Here is a 20130-nt window from a genome sequence, read left to right on the forward strand (position 1 = left end):
GTGGTTTGTCTGATTGGGGATCTCTTGTCTTTGCAGGTTGCTTTCACAACCAAAATTTATCACCCTAATATCAACAGCAATGGCAGCATCTGCCTTGATATCCTGCGGTCTCAGTGGTCTCCAGCGTTGACTGTGTCAAAAGGTAGAGATGCTGATGGCATGCTCTGTGTGCTCTTTTACACATGTTTTTACCCCAGCACTGACTGAGTGGAAATGGAAGCTCAGAGAAAGAAGTCACCTTTCCCAGGTCACATAGCCCTGTCCACTGCTGTGCCCTTAAGTGGATATCCTTACACGCCTACGAGGCAGCACCAGCAGAACTTTGTGCCCCGCTCCCTGGCGCTTCTCAGCAGTCAATTGCCCTGGTGTGCTCAAGACTGTCACATGGGTGCAAGAAGAAAATACTGATTCTACTTATATTTTTTTATCCAAAAATAAGAAAGGCAAATATTACATTACCTTCTCTGTTCCCTCATTTATTCATCTAATAAGCACAAAACGGACTGTGAGTCAGCCCTGAAGGAAGATACAGGGCATGCCTCCGGGGGCCTCGAAGTTGGTGGAGAAATCCTCCCTTCCCAAAATAAATGATGTTGAGCACATGTCTTTGGTTGAAGTTGAAGAAACCAGTCTAAACTGAGCTTAGAAATGCAGATATTCCTTCTGAATTAAGATGGGCTGTGCATGGGCTATGTATGCACGAGAGACCTGAATGTAGATGGTGCAGTATCCTGGCAGGTGGAGCGTGGGAGGATGGTGAAAAATCAACCCAAGAGAAACAGAGCCTGGCCTAAATTTTAAATTTTTCTGTAGAGGAGACAGGGTCTCACTTTGTTGCCCAGGCCATTCTCAAACTCCTGGCCTCAAGCAGTCCTCCCATTGTGGCCTCCCAAAGCACTGGGATTATAGGCGTGAGCCACTGTGCCCAGCCAAGTATCTTAAGAAAGGCAAACCTGCCCCTGTCATTTGTAGCTTTATGTGTGGGGACCTGTGGTCAGAACTTTGATGGACTCACTGAATCCAGTTTGTTTGGAATCATATGGTGAGTCGAAAGCAAAGCCAGGAATGAAAGTGTGCATTTCTCTCTGGGACCCCAAGAATCCAGGCACCACAATTCCTTCTGCTCCTCACCACAGCCCTAGTGGGTGATTCCCTTCCCCTAGGGTTGCTGAGAGCCACATTGAGTGCACATCTTAGAGACGGTGCTGGCACAGAGGAGGATGCATCTGCTTTGCAGTTAGAAGGACCTGGTTCAGAATTTCTTTATTTTTTTTTTGAGATCGAGTTTTGCTCTTGTTGCCCAGGGTGGAGTGCAATGGCGCGATCTCGGCTCACTGCAACCTCCACCTCCCAGGTTCAAGAGATTCTCCTGCCTCAGCCTCCTGAGTAGCTGGGATTACAAGCATGCACCACTATGCCTGGCTAATTTTGTATTTTTTTAGTAGAGACAGGGTTTCTCCATGTTGGTCAGGCTGGTCTTGAACTCCCGACCTCAGGTGATCTGCCTGCCTCGGCCTCCCAAAGTGCTGGGATTACAGGCAAGAGCCACCGCACCTGGTCCAGAATCTCATTTTAATCCATTTATTGGGTGTTCCAAGTCTGTGACCTTGGACAAGTTACTTGAATGCTCTGAATTCTTGTTTCCTTAACAGTAAACAGGACTCCTAGGACTAAATGCCAGAGGTTCATGATGTAGGGTACAGACAAGGATGGGAGGGCAGTTGGAGACTAAGATGGGGTGCTTCAGTGGAGAAGGGGAATGAGAACCAGGATGCACCCAGGAGGGAAGTATCCTAGCACAGCATGCCTCAGGCCACACAGTGAGGACCACCTCGGCTGATACATGGGACGGGGCAAGTGGTGCATCAAGCAATTTAGATTGGGCTGTTGAAGGGAAGACAACTGCTTGGTCAAAATACAGAGTGCAAGTTCAGGGAAGTTTACCCAGGGGTGACCCAGCAGCTTCGTGGCTACAGCTGACCAACCTTTTCTTTTCTTCCCAGTTCTCTTGTCCATCTGCTCGCTGCTCTGCGACCCCAACCCCGATGACCCCCTGGTGCCAGAGATAGCACACACCTACAAGGCCGACAGAGAGAAGTACGTGTCCTCTTTGGGTTGCCTTTGCACCATGGCTGCCCCAGGCAGCTCCATGCAGTACCTGTGCTCTGAGCTGGTGCTTCTAGGCTGCAGGTTCCCACAGACATCTTCCTGCCCATGCTGAGCCATGTGCACAGAGGGTGTGCCCTGGGCTTGGACTCCTGGCTCTCTCACTAACATGTCCTTTGAGTCTAAGGAGGGAAAAGGAGATAAAAGCAGTTCCCCTCCTGGATAACTCATTAGCTGCTGCTACTGTATATGAAAACATTGCCAAGCCCTGCCCTCAAGACCAGCAAAATCAGTGGTCAGCCAAGAACAGACTCAGAAGAATCTGACAACAAGAAAAATTCTGATTTAAATTCTAGGGTTTATAGCCTAAGACAAGGGGATGTCTGCTTGGCTATACCGAAGGTGAGGCTGAGGGCAGTCAAGGTGGGAAACACTGCTGTGGTCAGTTCGCTGGCTCAGCTCAGAAGTCAGCAGTGTGTTAGACCTTCATTGCCAGCTCTCTGTTTAAACACCAATTAACAGACCCAGAATTGTAAAATTCCGACCCCCTAGGCCAGGCACAACCACATGCACTGTAGCATGAGGGTGTCTGTAGTTGGTGGGGCAGGCACAAGGAGTCATCGCCAAGTGTTAGTCTCTCAGTGCTGACAGCACTGTGAAAGAGGCCCAGGTGTGGCAGGGGCCGCAGTCCAGTGAGTGGTGTGAATCTCAGTTGTGGACCTTCAGGGAAGGTATTGCTAGCCCTTTTAAAAGACATCTTCAGTGAGTGCATTCTTCAGTTCATTACTCATTACTTCTTTTCTGTCTGAAGAGATTAGAATAGAGTATGTTTTTCCCTTTTTTTTTTGAGACAAGGTCTCATTCTGTTGCCCAGTCTGAAGTGCAGTGGTGTGATCACAGCTTACTGCAGCCTCGATCTTCCAGGCTCAACCTATCCTCCTGCCTCAGCCTCCTGAGTAGCTGGGACTACAGGCGTGTCCCACCACACCTGGCTAATTTTTTGTAGAGACAGGGTTTTGCCATGTTGCCCAGGCTGGTCTTAAACTCCTGGACTCGAGCAATCTGCCCACCTAGGCCACCCAAAGTGCTGGGATTATAGGCGTGAGCCACCACACTCAGCCACATGTTTTTTTCAAATTATATTTTTCTTAAGACCTTTATAGATCTTATTATTTCCCTCATTGGAGTTTTCTCAATAACAGTCAAAATTTTTAATTGACTGGGTTTGTTTATTTTAACACTTTTTACAAGATATTTTAGACATACCAAAAGTGATTTTTTTTCAGTGCCTCTTGTAACTATAAATCTCTCTAATTTATAGTCTCATAGCATCAAGTGTCATTACAATGATGAGAGTAAGTGCACACACCTGCATAGTCTTCAATGGATGCCTGGCCTGCTCCATGTGCTTTACATACAGACTTCTCTAGTTTCCCCACAAGCACACAAGGCAGATACTTTCCCCATGGCAAGCAATCAAAAAAGCCAGGACACAGAGGGGCGGAACAGCTGCTGAGGACTGTACTGATGCACACCCCGGTAGGCAGATTCCCAAGCCCTTGTTCTGGAGTTTGTGTGCTGGACGGCCTGTAACTAGTACAAACTGACCTTTGTGTGTCTCTTCTCTGTCCTCCCTGCATCCATATTGTAGGACAGGAGAAAGAAAGGGAGGAAGTCTGTTGCATTATTAAATCTTCCACAGCAGATAGTTATGGAGAATCAACAGTTTGGGGTTTACACATGAGGGGTTCACCCAGCTGGGGGTTTACAGCCATGTCTGATGTGCTCCTGCTCCAGGGAAAGCCTTTATTCCACTCACCCATCAGCCGTAGATGTTTGACAAGCAGCAGCAGCAGCATTCCCCACATCAGTCCTGTTCTCTGCAGCACATTGAAGGGAAGTGACCATTTCAAGTGAGGGTGTCACTTCCTCTGCTTTTTTATTCCAGGTACAACAGACTAGCAAGAGAGTGGACACAAAAATATGCTATGTAAGTGCCTTGGAGGTTTTACATGAGACACTGTCCAAGAGAAGCTGGCAGAGAGGTCTTCCCTTAAAACTTTGGGCTGTTGGCTGAGCCATTCAAAGAGCATCATCTGTTCTTCAAACAAATGTTGGTCACCCACTCTCTCCAGCTGCAGCATGTTGGTGCCATTTTCAGCAATTACGGCTTTGACAGTGCCACCTCTTTGATGCCAAATCAGCAACCATTGTTGTTATGATCTGCAGTCTTCCTGGTGACACTGGAATCTCTCTCTCTGCCGCCTCAGTTTGTCTGCTGGTCTCTTGGGGGGCCAGGCCCTGCACGTCTCTCCTACCCGGCCTCAAATGGTGCTGCTGCCCATGATGGTACCACACCAGGGCCTCAGCCTGGCCCCTCACCACATACCCTTTGCCTTTTAGAACTCAGTGCCATCCTGGGTGCCCAGGGCAGAGCAGGCTTTGTTCGCACCTCATCTGCTGCAGAACCACATCCTGAGGAGTCTCAGCTTATCCTGGAGGGAATTGGGAACAGTGTCACTGGGAAGTGAAGGCCTAGCCCTGTGGCTTCCACCAGTCTCCTCCTGCAGTGCCACGTGGTGGCATTTCTCGCCTCACACCAAGAAGCAGCAAGTGGAAAATTTCAGGATACAAAGCACATAACACCCCATAAGAGATGATTATGTTTTTAGAAGCAAGAGCAAAATTATGAAACCTCTAGAGATTTGGGTCATGTTACTCCATTTGATGAAGATTCTCACTACCGCCCGCTCCTCCCATAGGAGCCTACACTAAGTCCAAGTGTGAGCCATTCACAGACTAGAACACAAGGAGGGAGAGAGACTCTTAAACGTAAATAAAAATGCAATTCACTCACAACTCTAAATGATAATTGACATTTCAGCCTCTTTCTTTTAGGCAAAACAGAAGATACACACTATTAACAGTTATTTGAAGCCTTAAATTACAATAGCCTGTTAGGTGATCGGCTTTCTGCCTTGGCTTTCTGATGCAGCACATTTTAAGATTTGCCTTTAAAGCTTTGAGCCTTGAGATTAGGTTAGTTAGGAAGAGGACAACAAAGGGAAGAGATTATTCTAATAAAACTTCCACAGAGGGAAGAAAATTGAGGAGCTTCAGATCTCTAAAGCCAAATTCAACCTGATCTTTCTAGGTTGGTTATAAAGCTGGTCCACTTCCAGGAAGTGATGTGTAGGTGAATAGGAACAAAAGGTGAAGAAGCAGTAAAACTGTGACCAAGTGGCCAGATGGGGCTTTTGCCGGCTGATTGAAAGGAAGTCTACAGACCTAACATAAGCAGTCAGCCAAAGGTGGCTGTGGGAGGTTGATTTCTTCCAGAAACTTCCAAGTTGTGGCTACAAATTTATTGCCAGATATTTTCCCACTGAGAATACTGAGGTTATTCACATAATCACTTCCTTAACAAAGGAAGAAGCACTTTTAACTTGGGCTGCATTCCCTTTGTGAGGGTCCACATTTAGGATCCTCCTGCTACCATAAGGCCCCTTTTGGGGTTCTTTGGGTGTGGCTGCATCTCACCATGTTGAGGATTGCCTTTTTTTTTTTTTTTTTTTTTTTTTTTTAACACAGAGCCTTGCTCTGTCTCCCAGGCTGGAGTGCAGTGGTGCGATCTTGGCTCACTGCAACCTCTGCCTCCCAGGTTCAAGCAATTCTCCTGCCTCAGCCTCCCAAGTAGCCGGAATTACAGGCATGTGCCACCATGCTGGGCTAATTTTTGTATTTTTAGTGGAGACGGTGTTTCACCATGTTGGCCAGGCTGTTCTTGAACTCCTGGCCTCAAGTGACCCGCCCACATTGGCCTCCCAAAGTGCTGGGATTACAGGCGTGAGCCCCCGTGCCCAGCAAGGATTGCTGTTTTAATTCTTGTATCTTCGTTGCTTCTTTGGTCTTTGCTTAAACAAAACAATAAAGCTTAATAGTTGGGGAGAATGCTGTTACCAGTGTCCTCTAGGAAGGCTGTTAGCATATGGCTCTACTGAGCAGCAGTGCCATCTGGTGCCTGAGATCATGTGCTTCAGGCAGTTGTCACACTGCATCTACAGCCAAGCATCACAGAAACACTTCACTCATGTGGTCAGGGAAGGTGGGACTGATTCACATGTTAGAGACAGGTCAGATGGGAAAATTAAGGCCCAACTTGGTGTTGGGGAATAACCATACTCTGGTCTTTCAAGTGTAGTAGCTGATGATTCCCAAGAAACTGATGAATTTTCTGAGTCCAGACAAAATTTCCCCAAGCCTGCTCTCTCTGTTGGATATACATAATAGAGAAAGTCAAATCAGCCCTTTGGGGTTTGTGGTAAAAATTCACTCACCCATTGAAGCCTAAGGTGGCTTTGTACCTTCCAGATCTCTCAGCAAATCCCCTGGGCAGAAATGTCACCTGCTTGCCATGTCTTTGAGGGGTTCAGGTCAGCCTGGAGAACAGGCTCCTTAGGTCAAAAACCTTGTTTTAAGAGCCACTGTGGTACAGTCAATGTAACCCACTTGTGCAGAAGCCATGCTTCCAAGGAAGGTCTCAGGTTGACAACTAGACATCAAATCTGAGAAGCCAACTGTGGAGTAATGTGTTTTTTTCTCTGTGGACAAGAGTGATCAGAAAGGTGCTTGATCTTGAACAATTGATCCATGATGAAAAAATGACCATTAGCTCTCCCCCAGAAGCGTCTGTGTTTGCTGAATGGAGCTGAGATTTTGATCCGCTATCAGACTCCAGAAAGATCCAGGAGTTCCAAGAACATGGCAAAGAGTCAAAATCTTAGGACAAGGAATTAAAATGCCAGAATGCAAATGTCCAACAGGCCTGGTAGCTCACAGCTATCAACACCCTAGAATTCCACACTGCCTCACTGCAGTTGCTCAAGGATGGGTATGTTTCTGTCTCTGAAATTCGGGAAAAAGCCTTAAGTGCCAGAGAAGGTGCTTCCAAGACTGTCTGCAGAATTCCTTTCCTAGGGTCTGTCTCTGGTACCCAAAAGGGCAGAGAAGGAACCCTAAGATTAGCATAGAGCCACTCATCTCTCCTCCCCTCCCCACCCCTTCTTCCCCTGCTTCCATTCCCCATGGCTCTCTCCTCTGACTGTGAAACACTTCCTCTCCAGCAGTGTTGGGAAAGTTCTGGACCTCTACTGGATCTAGCCATAAATGGTGGTCTTCAGAAAAATGGAGATTGTGGCTGCCAGCACCCACAAGACAGCAGCCTCATGCCATGCAGGCAGCAAGCCATCCTGAACAGCGTTCCTCCCAGAGTCTGTTTCCTCACCTGCTGTTCACTGGTGAGAGGAAAAGGGACTTGTTCTCCCTTGACCAGTTTTCTAGTTTTCCTGTTCCCACCCTGGTCTTTGCCTGATGACAGAGAAACTTTCTAAAAAAAAACAAAAACAAAAGCTATAAAAAATCTGCAAAACACCCTATCAGAAGTCAATGATTTCCTTAAAAATACATCTACTTCCTTCCTGTCCTTCTTATCTTCTCCCTTGCCCCAGACAGGTGTGCTTGCAGGCATCCAGCTGCCTGCATCAGAGCTCCCCTTGAAGGCAGGTGCGCAGCTGGGCTCCACGTTGGAGGGCAACAGCAGAGCTGCCACTTATAGCCGGTCTTTCAACCCTGCTGTCCCCCAGCCCACCCACAATGGCTCAAAAGGCTGGTCTTCTGAGAAAGACTTGCTGCTAGCCAATCATCACAGTCACTTTCCAGTTATGTTAAGTGGCATCAGAGCATTGATTAGCACTTACGGTATGCAAGATATGGTAGGAGGAAAAGGGAATTATAGACAGAAACCATGTGAAAGTATAAAAGTCACTGATAGACTAGATACACGAATGAGAAACAAATCAAGCATTATCATCACAGAAAACCACCAAATCGCAAAAGATAAGAAAGGGATCAGGCATGGTGGCTCATCCCTGTAATCCCAGCCCTTTGGAAGGCTGAGGTGGGAGAACTGCCTAAGGTCAAGAGTTTGAGACCAGCCAAGGCAACATAGTGAGACCCTGTCTCTTATTAAAAAAAGGAAAGGAAAAAAATTTTTCAAGAGGAAGAAAGTAACAAAGGACATATAAAACATCAGAAACCAATTAACAAAATGACAGGAATAAGTCCTCACTCATCAATAACAACCTTGAATGTAAAGAGTTCAAACTTCCCAATTAAAATATATAGCCTTGTTTAGCCGGGCATGGTGCCACATGCCTGTAATCTCAGCTACTCAGGAGGCTGAGGCAGGAGAATCACTTGAACCCGGGAGGTGGAGGTTGCAGTGAGCCAAGATCATGCCACTGCACTCCAGCTTGGGTGACAGAGTGAGACTCTATCTCCAAAAAAATACAATTAAAAAAATATATATATACACACACATAATACCCTTGCTGAGTGGGTTAGAAAAACAAGATCCAGGCGAGGCATGGTGACTCACAACTGTAATCCCCATGCTTTGGGAAGCTGAGGCAGGAGGATGTCGCTTGAGTTCAATACCAGCCTGGGCAACAGAGCAAGACCACTAGCTCTAAAAAAAAAAAAAAAAAGCTGGGCCTCGTGGCATGTGCCTGTAGTCCCAGCTACTCGGGAGGCTAAGACATGAGGGTTGTTTGAGTTCAGGAGTTGAAGGCTGCAGCTGAGTTATGATTGCCACTGCACTACAACCTGTGTGACAAAACAAGACCTTGTCTCTAAAATAAATTTTGTAAAATGAATTTAACAAAAACAAGATCCAGCTATATGCTGCCTATAAGGAACTCACTAAAAAGATGCATACAGACTAAGTGATGGGATGAAAAAAGATATTCCACTCAAATGTAAACTAAAAGCATGCAGGACTAGCTATACTTATATCAGACAAAATAGACTTTAAGTCAGTCAAAAAACAAAAAGAGAAAAGGTCATTATATAATGATAAAGGGATCAATTCAGCTAGAGGATATAACAATTGTAAATATATATGCACTCAACACTGGAGCACCCAGATATATAAAATAAATATTACTAGAGATAAAGAGAGAGATAGACCCCAGTACAATAAGTTGGGGACTTCAGCACCTACTTTCAGCATTGGACAGATTATGGTCTAGAAAATCAACATAGAGGCATGAGACTTAAAATACGCTATAGACCAATGAATCTAAGAGACATTTACAGACTATTTCATTCAACAGCTGCAGAATACATATTCTCATCAGCACATGGAACATTCTCCAGGATAGCCCATATGTTAGGCCACAAAATAAATCTCAACAAATATTTAAGAATCAAAATCCTATCAAGTATCTTATTAGACCACAATGGAATAAAAAGCAGTATGTTGCAGCCTCCAGAACTGTGAGAAACAAATTTCTGTTCTTTCTAAATTAAAAAAACAAAAAGCACTAGAAGTAAGTAACACAAGGAACTCTGGAAACTGTACAAATACATGAAAATTAAACAACACCATCCTGAAAGATCAAGGGGACAGTGAAGAAATTAAGAAGAGGCTGAGTGAGGTGGCTCACACCTGTAATCCCAGCACTTCAGGAGGCCAAGGAGGGCAGATCACTTGAGGTCATGAGTTCAAGACCAGCCTGGCCAACATAGCAACACCCCCATCTCTACTAAAAATACAAAAATTAACGGGCCAGGCATGGTGGCTCACACCTGTCATCCCACCACTTTGGGAGGCCACGGTGGGCGGATCACCTGAGCTCAGGTGTTCGACACCAGCCTGGGCAACACACTGAAACCCCATCTCTACTAAAAATACAAAAAATTAGCTGGGTGTGGTGGTGTGTGCCTGTAGTCCTAGCTACTCGGGAGGCTGAGGCAGGAGACTCTCTTGAATCTGGGAGGCGGAGGTTGCAGTGAGCCAAGATTGCACCGCTGCACTCCAGCCTGGGCAACAGAGCAAGACTCTGGCTCAAAAAAAAAACAAAAAACAAAAAAACGAAAAAGATACAAAAATTAGCTGGGTGTGGTGGCGTGCGCCTGTAATCCCAGCTACTCGGGAGGCTGAGGTAGGAGAATCGCTTGAACCTGGGGGGGCAGAGCCAAAATTGTGCCACTGCACTCCAGCCTGGGTGACAGAATGAGACTCTGTCTCAAAAAAAAAAAAAAAAAAAAAATTAGTGCCGGGCGCGGTGGCTCACGCCTGTAATCCCAGCACTTTGGAAGGTCGAGGCAGGCGGATCACGAGTTCAGGAGTTCGAGACCAGCTGATCAACATAGAGAAACCCCATCTCTACTAAAAATACAAAATTAGCCAGGTGTGGTGGCGCATGCCTGTAATCCCAGCTACTCAGGAGGCTGAGGCAGGAGAATCACTTGAACCCAGAAGGCGGAGGCTGCAGTGAGCCAAGATTGTGCCATTGCACTCCAGCCTGGGCAACCAGAGCAAAACTCCATCTCAAAAAAACAAAAAACAAAAAAAACACACAAACCTAAACTGCCTCTGTAACACTAATGAAAGGCCACCAGGTTAGAAGGATGAGAGGGGCCTGAATTTGTAGTTAAATGATTACTGCCATTATTCCAAAGGTCACAAGATTTACAACTTCCCCCAATAACTCCTGTAAATAACATCACTATTGTGGAACCTAAGATTGGCCTTTTGAGATGTCTTTTCAGGCTTTTGCATCTCTGATAACTGGATGGCCCCAGTTAGACTCCTGTGGCCCCACCCAGAAGCAGACAGCACATGAAGACCATTTTCCACAGCCCTATGACTGCACCCCAAACCAATTAGCAGCACCCATTCCCTAGCCCCCTGCCTGCCAAACTATTCTTTAAAAATCTTAGCCTCCAAATTTTCGGGGAGGCTGATTTGAGTAATAATAAAACTCTAGTCTCCCATTTAGCTGGCTCTATGTGTATTATACTCTTTCTCTGATCTTGATAGATCAGCTGTATCTGAGCAACAGGAAAGAAGAACCCATTGAGTGGTTACAGGACAGCCAACAGGAAACTTAAACAAGAAAAATGGGAGCATGAGAGGGATAAGGGCGAGGGGGTCTACATAGGGCAGGCCACATCCTCTCCTCTTTAAAACCCATCAGGGTTTCCATTACACATAGAATAAAACCCAAAGCCCTTCCCTTGGCCTCTCCTTCTCCCTGTGTCCCACTTCTCAGACCAATTAAGCTGGCTCCTACCTCAGAACCCAGTCTCTGCTCCAGGGTTAGTTACCTCCTCTAAGGCTTTCCCTGGCCTATCAAGCTGAAACAGGTTTCCATACACTGCAACAGGAAGCAGTATCATGCTCCCTCAAACTTCTCACCACTAGAGACTCCTCCTTATAGTCTTCTCTACATGGAGCTTGGTCACCTCACTGAGCTGATCTAATTCCAGAACACAGAGACCTGCTTCTTTGGCCTGCACAACCTGGTTTCAGGTAAGGGTAGCTTCTCCTCAGGTAGACTAAAATTTGAAAAGTGCTCCCAGACCTCCTAGGGCTTCCACCTGGGACTGGTGGCCAAACGGGTGAAGGAACCTGACAACTAGAAGGTGATTAAATAGGAGTATTCCCAGACAAAGAAGAGAAAAAAAGGTATGTTCACCAAAGAGAAGACGGTATAAGTACCATAAGACTGATGGCCAAACTCCTCTAGAATATGGAGACTGGGGGCAGAGGGATGAGGGGGCAGAAAGTCACCTGAGGGTCTGGTCTGAAGGAAAAACAAGCAGAGATGTTACTGAAGTAAGGGGGGAAAAGACTGAAAATTAGGAGATCTGGAGAGCCTCTATTTATGTAAATTCACTTTTTCTAATGTAAACAGTAGTGAAGTCAAAGTAGAGAAGTAGGGAGACCTGCACTGTGGAAAAGAGAAAAGATTGAAAAGAAGATCCAGGACGAATTCAAAGGAGGGGTGAAGACTGCAGACTGGACTGCTAAGGAGAAGAGATATTTTGCCACAACTTGAGACTTCTCCAGGTCAGGATGAAGTAACTGTTTTCCTCTCAGAAATGTCAGAGCTTCTGCCTGTAAGACAAGGCAGTGGTTCAAATGTGTCCACCAAAGTTCATATCTTAGAGGCTTGATCTCCAGTGTGATGGTGTTGAGTGGTGGGAGGTGGGAGGTGCTGAGGCTCTCATGAATGGATTAATGCCATTATTTTAGAAGTGGGTTTGTTACCCGAGAAGGGTGTCCAGGTTCTTGGTGTCATGAACAAAGAATTGGACAAAATGCACAAAGAAAGCAAGGAAAGAATGAGGCAACAAAAGCAGAGATTTATTGAAAATGAAGGTACACTTCACAGGGTGGGAGTGGCTTGAGCAAGTGGTTCAAGAGCCTGGTTACCGAATTTTTTGGGGGTTAAATATCCTCTAGAGGTTTCCCATTGGTTACTTGATGTACACCCTTGTAAATGAAGTAGTGCCCACAATCAGTCTGATTGGTTGAGGGAGGGGACCTATCAGAGGCTGAAGCAAGTTTCAAAGTTACACCCTATGCAAATCTCTGATTGATTGGGAAAAGGCTGAAGTGAAGTTACAAAGTTATACTCCTATGCAAATGAAGACTTGGCCCATGACCAGCCTCATTGGTTGTGGAAAGGGACCAATCAGAGGTACTTTCAATTTTTCATCTACCATGCAGAAAAAGGTTGGGGGTGGGGGTTGCAAAGGAAGTAGCCAAACAAACTCTGACTACAAACAGAGGTCCCAGTGGGTAGGGGGCTGGGACAAAGCTTTTGGGGGAGGGGGAGGACAGAGGACCTTGGGGCTGGGGGATCTAAGCTGGCCCCTCAATAAAGGGCCTCCTCGCCACCTCCCAGCCCACTGTCCCACCTCTGCCCTTGGCTCTGTTCCTTGCCTCCCTCCTGTCTGACCCCATCTGCCTCCTACAGGAGGAGCCCACCCACCCCCAAACACCTCCCAGCGTTCTGGGCCCAGCTCCTTCCCAGGCCTCACTGGTGCGACTCAGCTCCAGCTGGAAGAGCAGGTCCAGGAAGTCCTTGGCCAGCCCCTGCCCCAGGAAGAGCTTGAGCAGGTTCGTGGCCACGTCCTGGCGACACTCGGTGCTGGTTGTCTCCTCGATGAGTGGGATCAGCTGCCCTGGGCCCTGCAGGGAGAGGCACGGGGGATCCCGAACCTTTCCCTCTGAGGACCTCAGAGCATCCCAGGGAAAGAGGACATTTTCCCAAGGGGTGGCTGGGGATGGGGCCCTGGACACTGGCCAGCTCCTCACATCCCCAGACCTCAGGTTTCTGCTCTGCAGAATGGGTTTGGAAGGACAGGCGCACAGGCCTACTGCCACTGGACCCTCCCACCCTGCCCAGGTCCCCTCACCTGCATGCCCAGCTTGACCTCGTGGCACAGCAGGTGCACCAGTGGCTGGTAGTAGCTGGAGGGCAGCACCGTCTCGTCCCGCAGCCGCACCTCCAGCTGCAAGGAGCCCAGGTTGCCCCTGGAATGGGCAGCCTGTGACCTCTCCACCAGGGACTCAGGCCACCCTGGACCACACCGCTCCCATGGCCTCCAGTTTTTTCCCTTGGGGCCAGCCTCCCATCTCTCTGCTCATGCCCTCCATCCGGGTGCCCTGCACAGCTCTGCCTCCCAGGCTCTGCCCGGGCTATTTATTTTCTGTTTTTGGAAAGCCCTTCCTGTCTCTGCACTCAAGGCACCTCTATCTGTCTTCGAGGTGTGGCTCCCTGCCACCTCCAAGCTTGGGTATGTGGAGCTGCCAGCCTTGAATCTATCAACTCCCAGATAATGGCACCATCATGGGTACACTTTACAGCAGAAGCAAATCCCCAACCCTCATAACAACCTAATAGGGAAACTGAGACCCGAGCCAGTTCAGCAACTTGCCACATTAGATTGAGCTTCCCAGCTTCCCTGTTCTGATAGGGAAGTTCAGAACAGAGGAGGGTGTGGACCAAGTGGGAGCCTCTAAGGCTCCCACTGCCCGTGCTCAGCACGAGCCTCATGCACAGAGCAGTGTTAAGATGGGCCCCTGGGCCTGGCGCAGTGGCTCATGCCTGTAATCCCAGAACTTTGGGAGGCCAAGGCAGGCAGATCACTTGAGGTCATGAGTTCAAGACCAGCCTGGCTGACACGGCAAAACCCCATCTCTATTAAAATATATATATATAAATTAGCCAGGCATTGTGGCAGGTGCCTGTAATCGCAGCTACTCGGGAGACTGAGGCAGGAGAAGCGCTTCAACCCAGGAAGCAGAGGTTGCAGTGAGCCAGGATTGCACCACTGCACTCCAGCCTGACTCTGTCTCAAAAAAAATAAATAAATAAAAAATAAGATGGCAAGATGGGCCTTGGCTGGTTCTATGGAAACACCTTGTGCTGGACACACAGCCGTCCACCTGCTCCTACCCTGTTAAGGATGGGAACTGGGGGAGTGGGGGTCTGGGGCCTTCCACAGAGACACAAAGCTGAACCATTGAGGGCTGTGGGCCACAGCAAACAAGCCAGAGGGCTTCCTAGACAGGCTGCCAGATTTAGCAAAACGACCCAAGACACCCAGTTAAATGTGAATATTTTATTTACTTATTTTTTTTTTTTAGAGATGGGGTCTTGCTATGTTGCCCAGGCTGGTCTTGAACTCCTGGGCTCAAGTGATCCTCCTGCCTTGGCCTCCCAAAGTGCTGAGATTATAGGCATGCGCCACCATACCCGGCCTAAATTTGAATATTTTTAGTATAGGTATGTCTCAAATAGTGCATGGTCATTCTTCTTCTTTATTTATTTATTTTTTTTGCTGAGATGGAGTCCTGCTCTGTCACCCAGGCTGGAGTGCAGTGGCACGATCTCGGCTCACTGCAGCCTCCACCTCCCAGATTCAAGCAATTCTCCATCCTCAGCCTCCCAAGTAGCTGAGATTAGAGGTGCCCGCCACCACATCCGGGTAATTTTTGTATTTTTAGTAGAGCCTCACCATGTTGGCCAGGCTGGTCTTGAACTCCTGATCTCATGATCCACCCGCCTCGGCCACCCAAAGTGCTGAGATTACAGGCATGAGCCACCGCACCCAGCTGTTTTCTTGAGACGGAGTTTCGCTCTTGTCACAGAGGCTGGAGTGCAGTGGTGGGATCTCGGCTCACTGCAACCTCCATCTCCTGGGTTCAAGCAATTATCCTGCTTCAGCCTCCCAAGTAGCTTGGATTACAGGTGCCCACCACCATTTTTTGTACTTTTAGTAGAGACGGTGTTTCACCATGTTGGCCAGGCTGGTCTCGAACTCTTGACCTCAAGTGATCCACCCGCCTCAAACTCCCAAAGTGTTGGGATTACAGGTGTGAGTCACCACGCCCAGCGGTTATTCTTATACTAAAAAAGTATTCACAGCCGGGCACAGGTCAGGAGTTCAACATCAAGCCCGGCCATCACGGTGAAACCCCATCTCTACTAAAACTACAAAAAATTAGCCAGGTGAGGTGGTCCTAGCTACCCGGAACGTTGAGGTGGGAGGATTGCTTGCACCCAGGAGGTGGAGTCTACAGTGAGCTATGATCACCACTGCACTGGTGGTACAGGTGCATGCCTGTAATCCCAGCTACTCGGGAGGCTGAGGCATGAGAATTGCTTGAACCTGGGAGGCAGAGGTTGCAGTGAGCCAAGACCATGCCACTGCACTCCATCCAGCCTAGGTGACAGAGTGAGATGCTGCTCAAAAAAAAAAAAAAAAAAAAATTATTCACTGTTTATCTGAAATTAAGTTTTAACTGGGTGTTCTTTTTTTTTTTTTTTGAGACAGAGTCTAGCTTTGTCACCCAGGCTAGAGTGCAATGGCGCAATCTTGGCTCACTACAACCTCTGCCTCCGGGGTTCAAGCAATTCTGCCTGCCTCAGCCTCCCGAGTAGCTGGGATTACAGGCGCCCGCCATCTGGCCAGGCTGGTCTCAAACTCCTGACCTCAGGTGATCCGCCCACCTCGACCTCCCAAAGTGCTGGGATTACAGGCGTGAGCCACCGAGCCTGGCCTAATTTTTATTTCTTTGTAGAGACAGAGTCTCACTTTCTTGCCCAGGCTGGTCTCAAACTCCTTGCCCCAAGTGATCCTCCCACCTTGGCCTCCCAAAGAGCTGGGATTACAGGCATGAGCCACCGCTCCTGGCCAACGGTGTCCTATCTTATCTCACAACCCTATTCCTGGAGAATCTGGCATAGGGAGTTGGAGCTATGGCTCAGGGACACTGACCTTGGAGACTTGAACCCTGGTCTGAGGTCTGCAGGGAAATTTTCAAAGGGAAAATGTCTGAGTACTTGTTTCAGAAACTTCCAGAGGCAGAAAGCAGGAGACCTGTACAACCTGTGAGCTAAGAAGACAGACCTGGCCGGGTTTGGTGGCCCATGCCTGTAATCCTAGCACTTTGGCAGGCTGAGGCGGGTGGATCACTTGAGGTCAGGTGTTCGAGACCAACTTGGCCAACATGGTGAAACCCTGTCTCTACTAAAAATACAAAAATTAGCCGAGCATGGTGGCACACAGTTGTAATCCCAACTAATCAGGAGGTTGAGGCAGGAGGATCACTGGAACCCAGGAGGTGGAGGTTGCAGTGAGCCAAGATTGTGCCGCTGCACTCCAGCCTGGGTGACAGAGCAAGACTCCATCTCAAAAAAAAAAAAAAAAAAAAAAAAAAGACAGAAGACAGAGCTGAGCTGAATGCAGAACTGTGGGGAAAAATAAAGGGGAGGGGCCGGGCGCGGTGGCTCATGCCTGTAATCCCAGTACTTGGGGAGGCCGAGGCAGGTGGATCACCAGGTCAGGAGATCGAGACCATCCTGGCTAACATGGTGAAACCCTGTCTCTACTAAAAATGCAAAACATTAGCCAGGCGCAGTGGCGGGTGCCTGTAGTCCCAGCTACTTGGGAGGCTGAGGCAGGAGAATGGCGTGAACCTGGGAGGCAGAGCCTGCAGTGAGTCGAGATCACGCCATTGCACTCCAGCCTGGGGACAGAGTGAGACTCCATCTCAAAATAAATAAATAAATAAATAAATAAATAAATAAATAAATAAATAAATAATAAATAAAGGGGAGGTGGAGCCCAGCCGGGATGAGAAGGATGCTGGCTAGGTGGGCAGGGGCTGAGGGGACCCTGGAGCTGTGTCTCCTGACCTCTCACCCCTGAGCAGCCCCCCTGCCCTGCCTGCCTGTAGCCAATTCCCAAATGTCAGCCCCCACCCCACCCCTTGAGGCCGGCTGCCCAGCTCCATGCACTTACTCGTCATGCTGCCGGCTCTTGGACTGGTCGGGCTGCAGCCGGAACCAGCCCTCCTCCTGCTGCGCCACCCGCAGTCTCTGGACATCGATCACCACCTGGGGACATAGTGGCAGTTTTCCTGGAGCTGGGAGACTTAGGTCTCCTCCTTGCCAACTACTGTTCTTAGTGGGGAGGGGCCTCTTCCAAGGGTCCCTGAGTGCCAGTGGTGGTGGGGGGAAGTTGCTGGTTCTGGCAGACGGTGGAGGTGGGGGGGTAGTCCCAGGCTTCCTGAGTGTCCCTCTTTGGGGAAGCCAGAAGGAGGTCCCTGAGGATGGGATGGCTGCAATGGAGCCAGGTGCTGGGGGACAGCAGGTGCAGCCTGCCGGGGGAGGAGGGGGGGCGGGGCGGTGGTGCTCACTTTGCCCAGGAAGTCGTTTCGGCTGACAAGGTCCCAGTCCCAGGCCTCCACGCACAGCGCCTCCACGGCCCCCTCCTGCAGCTCAAATTCAAACGTCTCATTCCAGCGTGGGTAGCATGACTTCTTCATGATCTGCCCAGAGGAGGGTGGGAGGGGGTTAGGCTGATGCCACTGGACTCCCCAGGCTGGGCAAAAGGCAGAGCTGCCCTAGACACCTCCCCTGGGTTCCCCACAGCCTCCTCGCCTTGGAGGTTCTGCCACAGCAGAGGTTAAAATGTCCTGTCCAAGCTCCCACCCATTTCTCAGATGGGGAGAACTGAGGCCCAGGGTGGGGAAAAGATGTATCCGAGGCCACACAGCAGAACAGTACTGACTATGAGGATGTGGTGAACAGGGAATACCTCTACACTGCTGGTGGGAATGTGAACTAGTACAACCACTATGGAAAACAGCGGAGATTCCTTAACTAACTAAAAGTAGAACTACCATTTGATTCAGCAATCCCACTACTGGATATCTACCCAGAGGAGAAGTCATTATACAAAAAAGATACCTGCACACATATGTTTTTGTTTTGTTTGTTTTGTTTTGTTTTTGAAACAGTCTTGCTCTGTCGCCCAGGCTGGAGTGCAGTGGCACGATCTCAGCTCACTGCAACCTCCGCCTTCTGGGTTCAAGTGATTCTCCTGCCTCAGCCTCCCAAGTAGCTGGGATTTCAGGGGCCTGCCGCTACGCCCAGCTAATTTTCGTATTTTTAGTAGAGACAGGGTTTCACCAGGTTGGCCAGGCTGCCCTCAAACTCCTGACCTCAGGTGATCCGCCTGCCTTGGCCTCCCAAAGTGCTGGGATTACAGGCGTGAGCCACCGCGCCTGGCCCTTTTATTCTTTTCTTTTTTTTTTTAAACAGGGTCTTGCTCTGTTGCTCAGGCTGGAGTACAGTGATGCAATCATAGCTCACTGCAGCCTCCACCTCCTGGGCTCAAGCAATCCTCCCACGTCAGCCTCCCAAGTAGTTGGCACTATAGGTGTGCCCCACCACACCTGGCTAATTTTTAAATTTTTTTGTAGAGACTGGATCTTGCTGTTGCCCAGGCTGGTCTCGAAATCCGGGCCTCAAGAGATCCTCCCACCTCTGCTTCCCAAAGCACTGGGATTACTGGAGTGAGCCGCTGCACCCTGCCAGTATCCCCTACTTAGAACTCTTTGTGGAAGAACACCAAAGCCCACTCATCTTCGATATTTTAAGCCTCTCATACCTGCCTTTCTTCCCCCTCAAGACTGTCTAATAAAACCCCCCAACATTGAGGCTGGGTGCAGCGGCTCATTCCTATAATCCCAGCACTTTGGGAAGGAGGCTGAGGCAGGAGAATTGCTTGAACCTGGGGAGGCAGAGGTTGCAGTGAGCCAAGAAAACGCCACTGCACTCCAGCCTGGGCGACAGAGCCAGACTGCCTCAAAAAAAAAAAAAACACCAAAAAAAAAAACAGCCCGGGTGCAGTGGCTCACGCCTGTAATCCCAGTACTTTGGGAGGCCGAGGCAGGCAGATCACCTGAGGTCAGGAGTTTGAGACCAGCCTAGCCAACATAGTGAAGTCTCGTCTCTACTAAAACTACAAAAAATTAGCCAGGCGTGGTGGTGCACACCTGTAATCCCAGCTACTAGGGAGGCTGAGGCAGGAGAATTGCTTGAACCCAGAAGGTGGAGGTTGCAGTGAGCTGAGATCGGGCCACTGCACTCCAGCCTGGATGATGGAGCGAGATTGTCTCAAAAACAAAAAACAAAAAAACCCCAAGGTTTTACTGAAATATTGAGAATCTCCCCAGAAAAAATAAGGAGGAAATGTTCTTTCTTCCTCTGCAGCAAATGGACCTTCTTAGGCTGACTTGGAATTGCAGCAGGAGTCTCATTGCCGAGGACAACGGGGGACAAGTCCCCTCACTCTGAGAGAGGCCTGGACATTCCTCTCCCCTGCTAGGACTCACTAGAAGGCCAACCACTGTGGCCCCAGAGGATGGGAGAGGGGAGATTCCTGGAGAGAGGGGAGGGCCAGGGAGACATGCTTCCATGCCTCCCATCTCCGTGGGTGACGATGGGTGCCTGGGAGAAGTGGCCCCGAGGTCCCAGAGCCCGGCCACGTGTGTGAGCGGGTGCACACGTGTGCATGCCTGTCCCCCAGACAGCCTGGTGCCCAGAAAGGATAAGGATGGAAGAAGCAGGTGAGTTGGGGTGGGGCGGGGGGGAATGAATGGCAGGGCCAGAGAGTGAGCGAGTGTGGGGGCGTGGCTGAGGCTCGGCCCAAGCCCAGACATTTTCCATCCATTTCTATTTTCCCAGGACAGAAAATAACTCCCGGGAAGCCAGAGTGAGCAACATGGGCATCATCCGACCCACACCCCTCTGCCCAAGGGAAGTCTTCCTCTTAGACAGGCTGACCCCTCAAGGGTGGGGGGAACACTGGCTC

The 20130-nt window shown here is 49.0% G+C and overlaps 1 protein-coding gene and 1 pseudogene across 8 annotated transcripts in view, besides 2 other annotated features; one reads left to right on the top strand and one right to left on the bottom strand.

The window, feature by feature from the left end:
• UBE2D4 (ubiquitin conjugating enzyme E2 D4) overlaps window positions 1-7541 on the top strand; it is a 29701-nt gene extending 22160 nt beyond the window's left edge. For 3 of the 7 annotated variants that reach the window (XM_006715734.4, XM_047420463.1, XM_047420464.1), the window contains 4 exons: window positions 37-142; window positions 2004-2097; window positions 4055-4096; window positions 4510-7541. In XM_006715734.4, coding sequence (XP_006715797.1) covers window positions 37-142; window positions 2004-2097; window positions 4055-4096; window positions 4510-4585 — 318 coding nt within the window. In that variant the 3' untranslated portion in view covers window positions 4586-7541. Of the gene's footprint in view, window positions 1-36; window positions 143-2003; window positions 2098-4054 lie in introns of all 7 variants that reach the window. The other 4 variants (NM_015983.4, XM_024446795.2, XM_047420461.1 and 1 more) reach the window with 3 other exon arrangements.
• POLR2J4 (RNA polymerase II subunit J4 (pseudogene)) overlaps window positions 1-20130 on the bottom strand; it is a 78300-nt pseudogene that overhangs the window by 7701 nt on the left and 50469 nt on the right. Inside the window, exons 11-14 of the transcript NR_003655.3 lie at window positions 17669-17800; window positions 17272-17366; window positions 13378-13495; window positions 3926-4601 (exon numbers count right to left, since the gene is read on the bottom strand). The product of NR_003655.3 is annotated as an RNA polymerase II subunit J4 (pseudogene) (transcript). The remainder of the gene's footprint in view (window positions 1-3925; window positions 4602-13377; window positions 13496-17271; window positions 17367-17668; window positions 17801-20130) is intronic.
• Window positions 6044-6113: a silencer, noted in NCBI's record as "silent region_18134". NCBI's record gives its function as "represses an Ori minimal core promoter by ATAC-STARR-seq in GM12878 lymphoblastoid cells {active_cell/tissue: GM12878}" and the evidence as "EXISTENCE:reporter gene assay evidence [ECO:0000049][PMID:35858748]".
• Window positions 6154-6203: a silencer, noted in NCBI's record as "silent region_18135". NCBI's record gives its function as "represses an Ori minimal core promoter by ATAC-STARR-seq in GM12878 lymphoblastoid cells {active_cell/tissue: GM12878}" and the evidence as "EXISTENCE:reporter gene assay evidence [ECO:0000049][PMID:35858748]".

The sequence above is a fragment of the Homo sapiens genome, chromosome 7, assembly GCF_000001405.40.
Source record: "Homo sapiens chromosome 7, GRCh38.p14 Primary Assembly".
Lineage (NCBI taxonomy): Eukaryota > Metazoa > Chordata > Mammalia > Primates > Hominidae > Homo > Homo sapiens.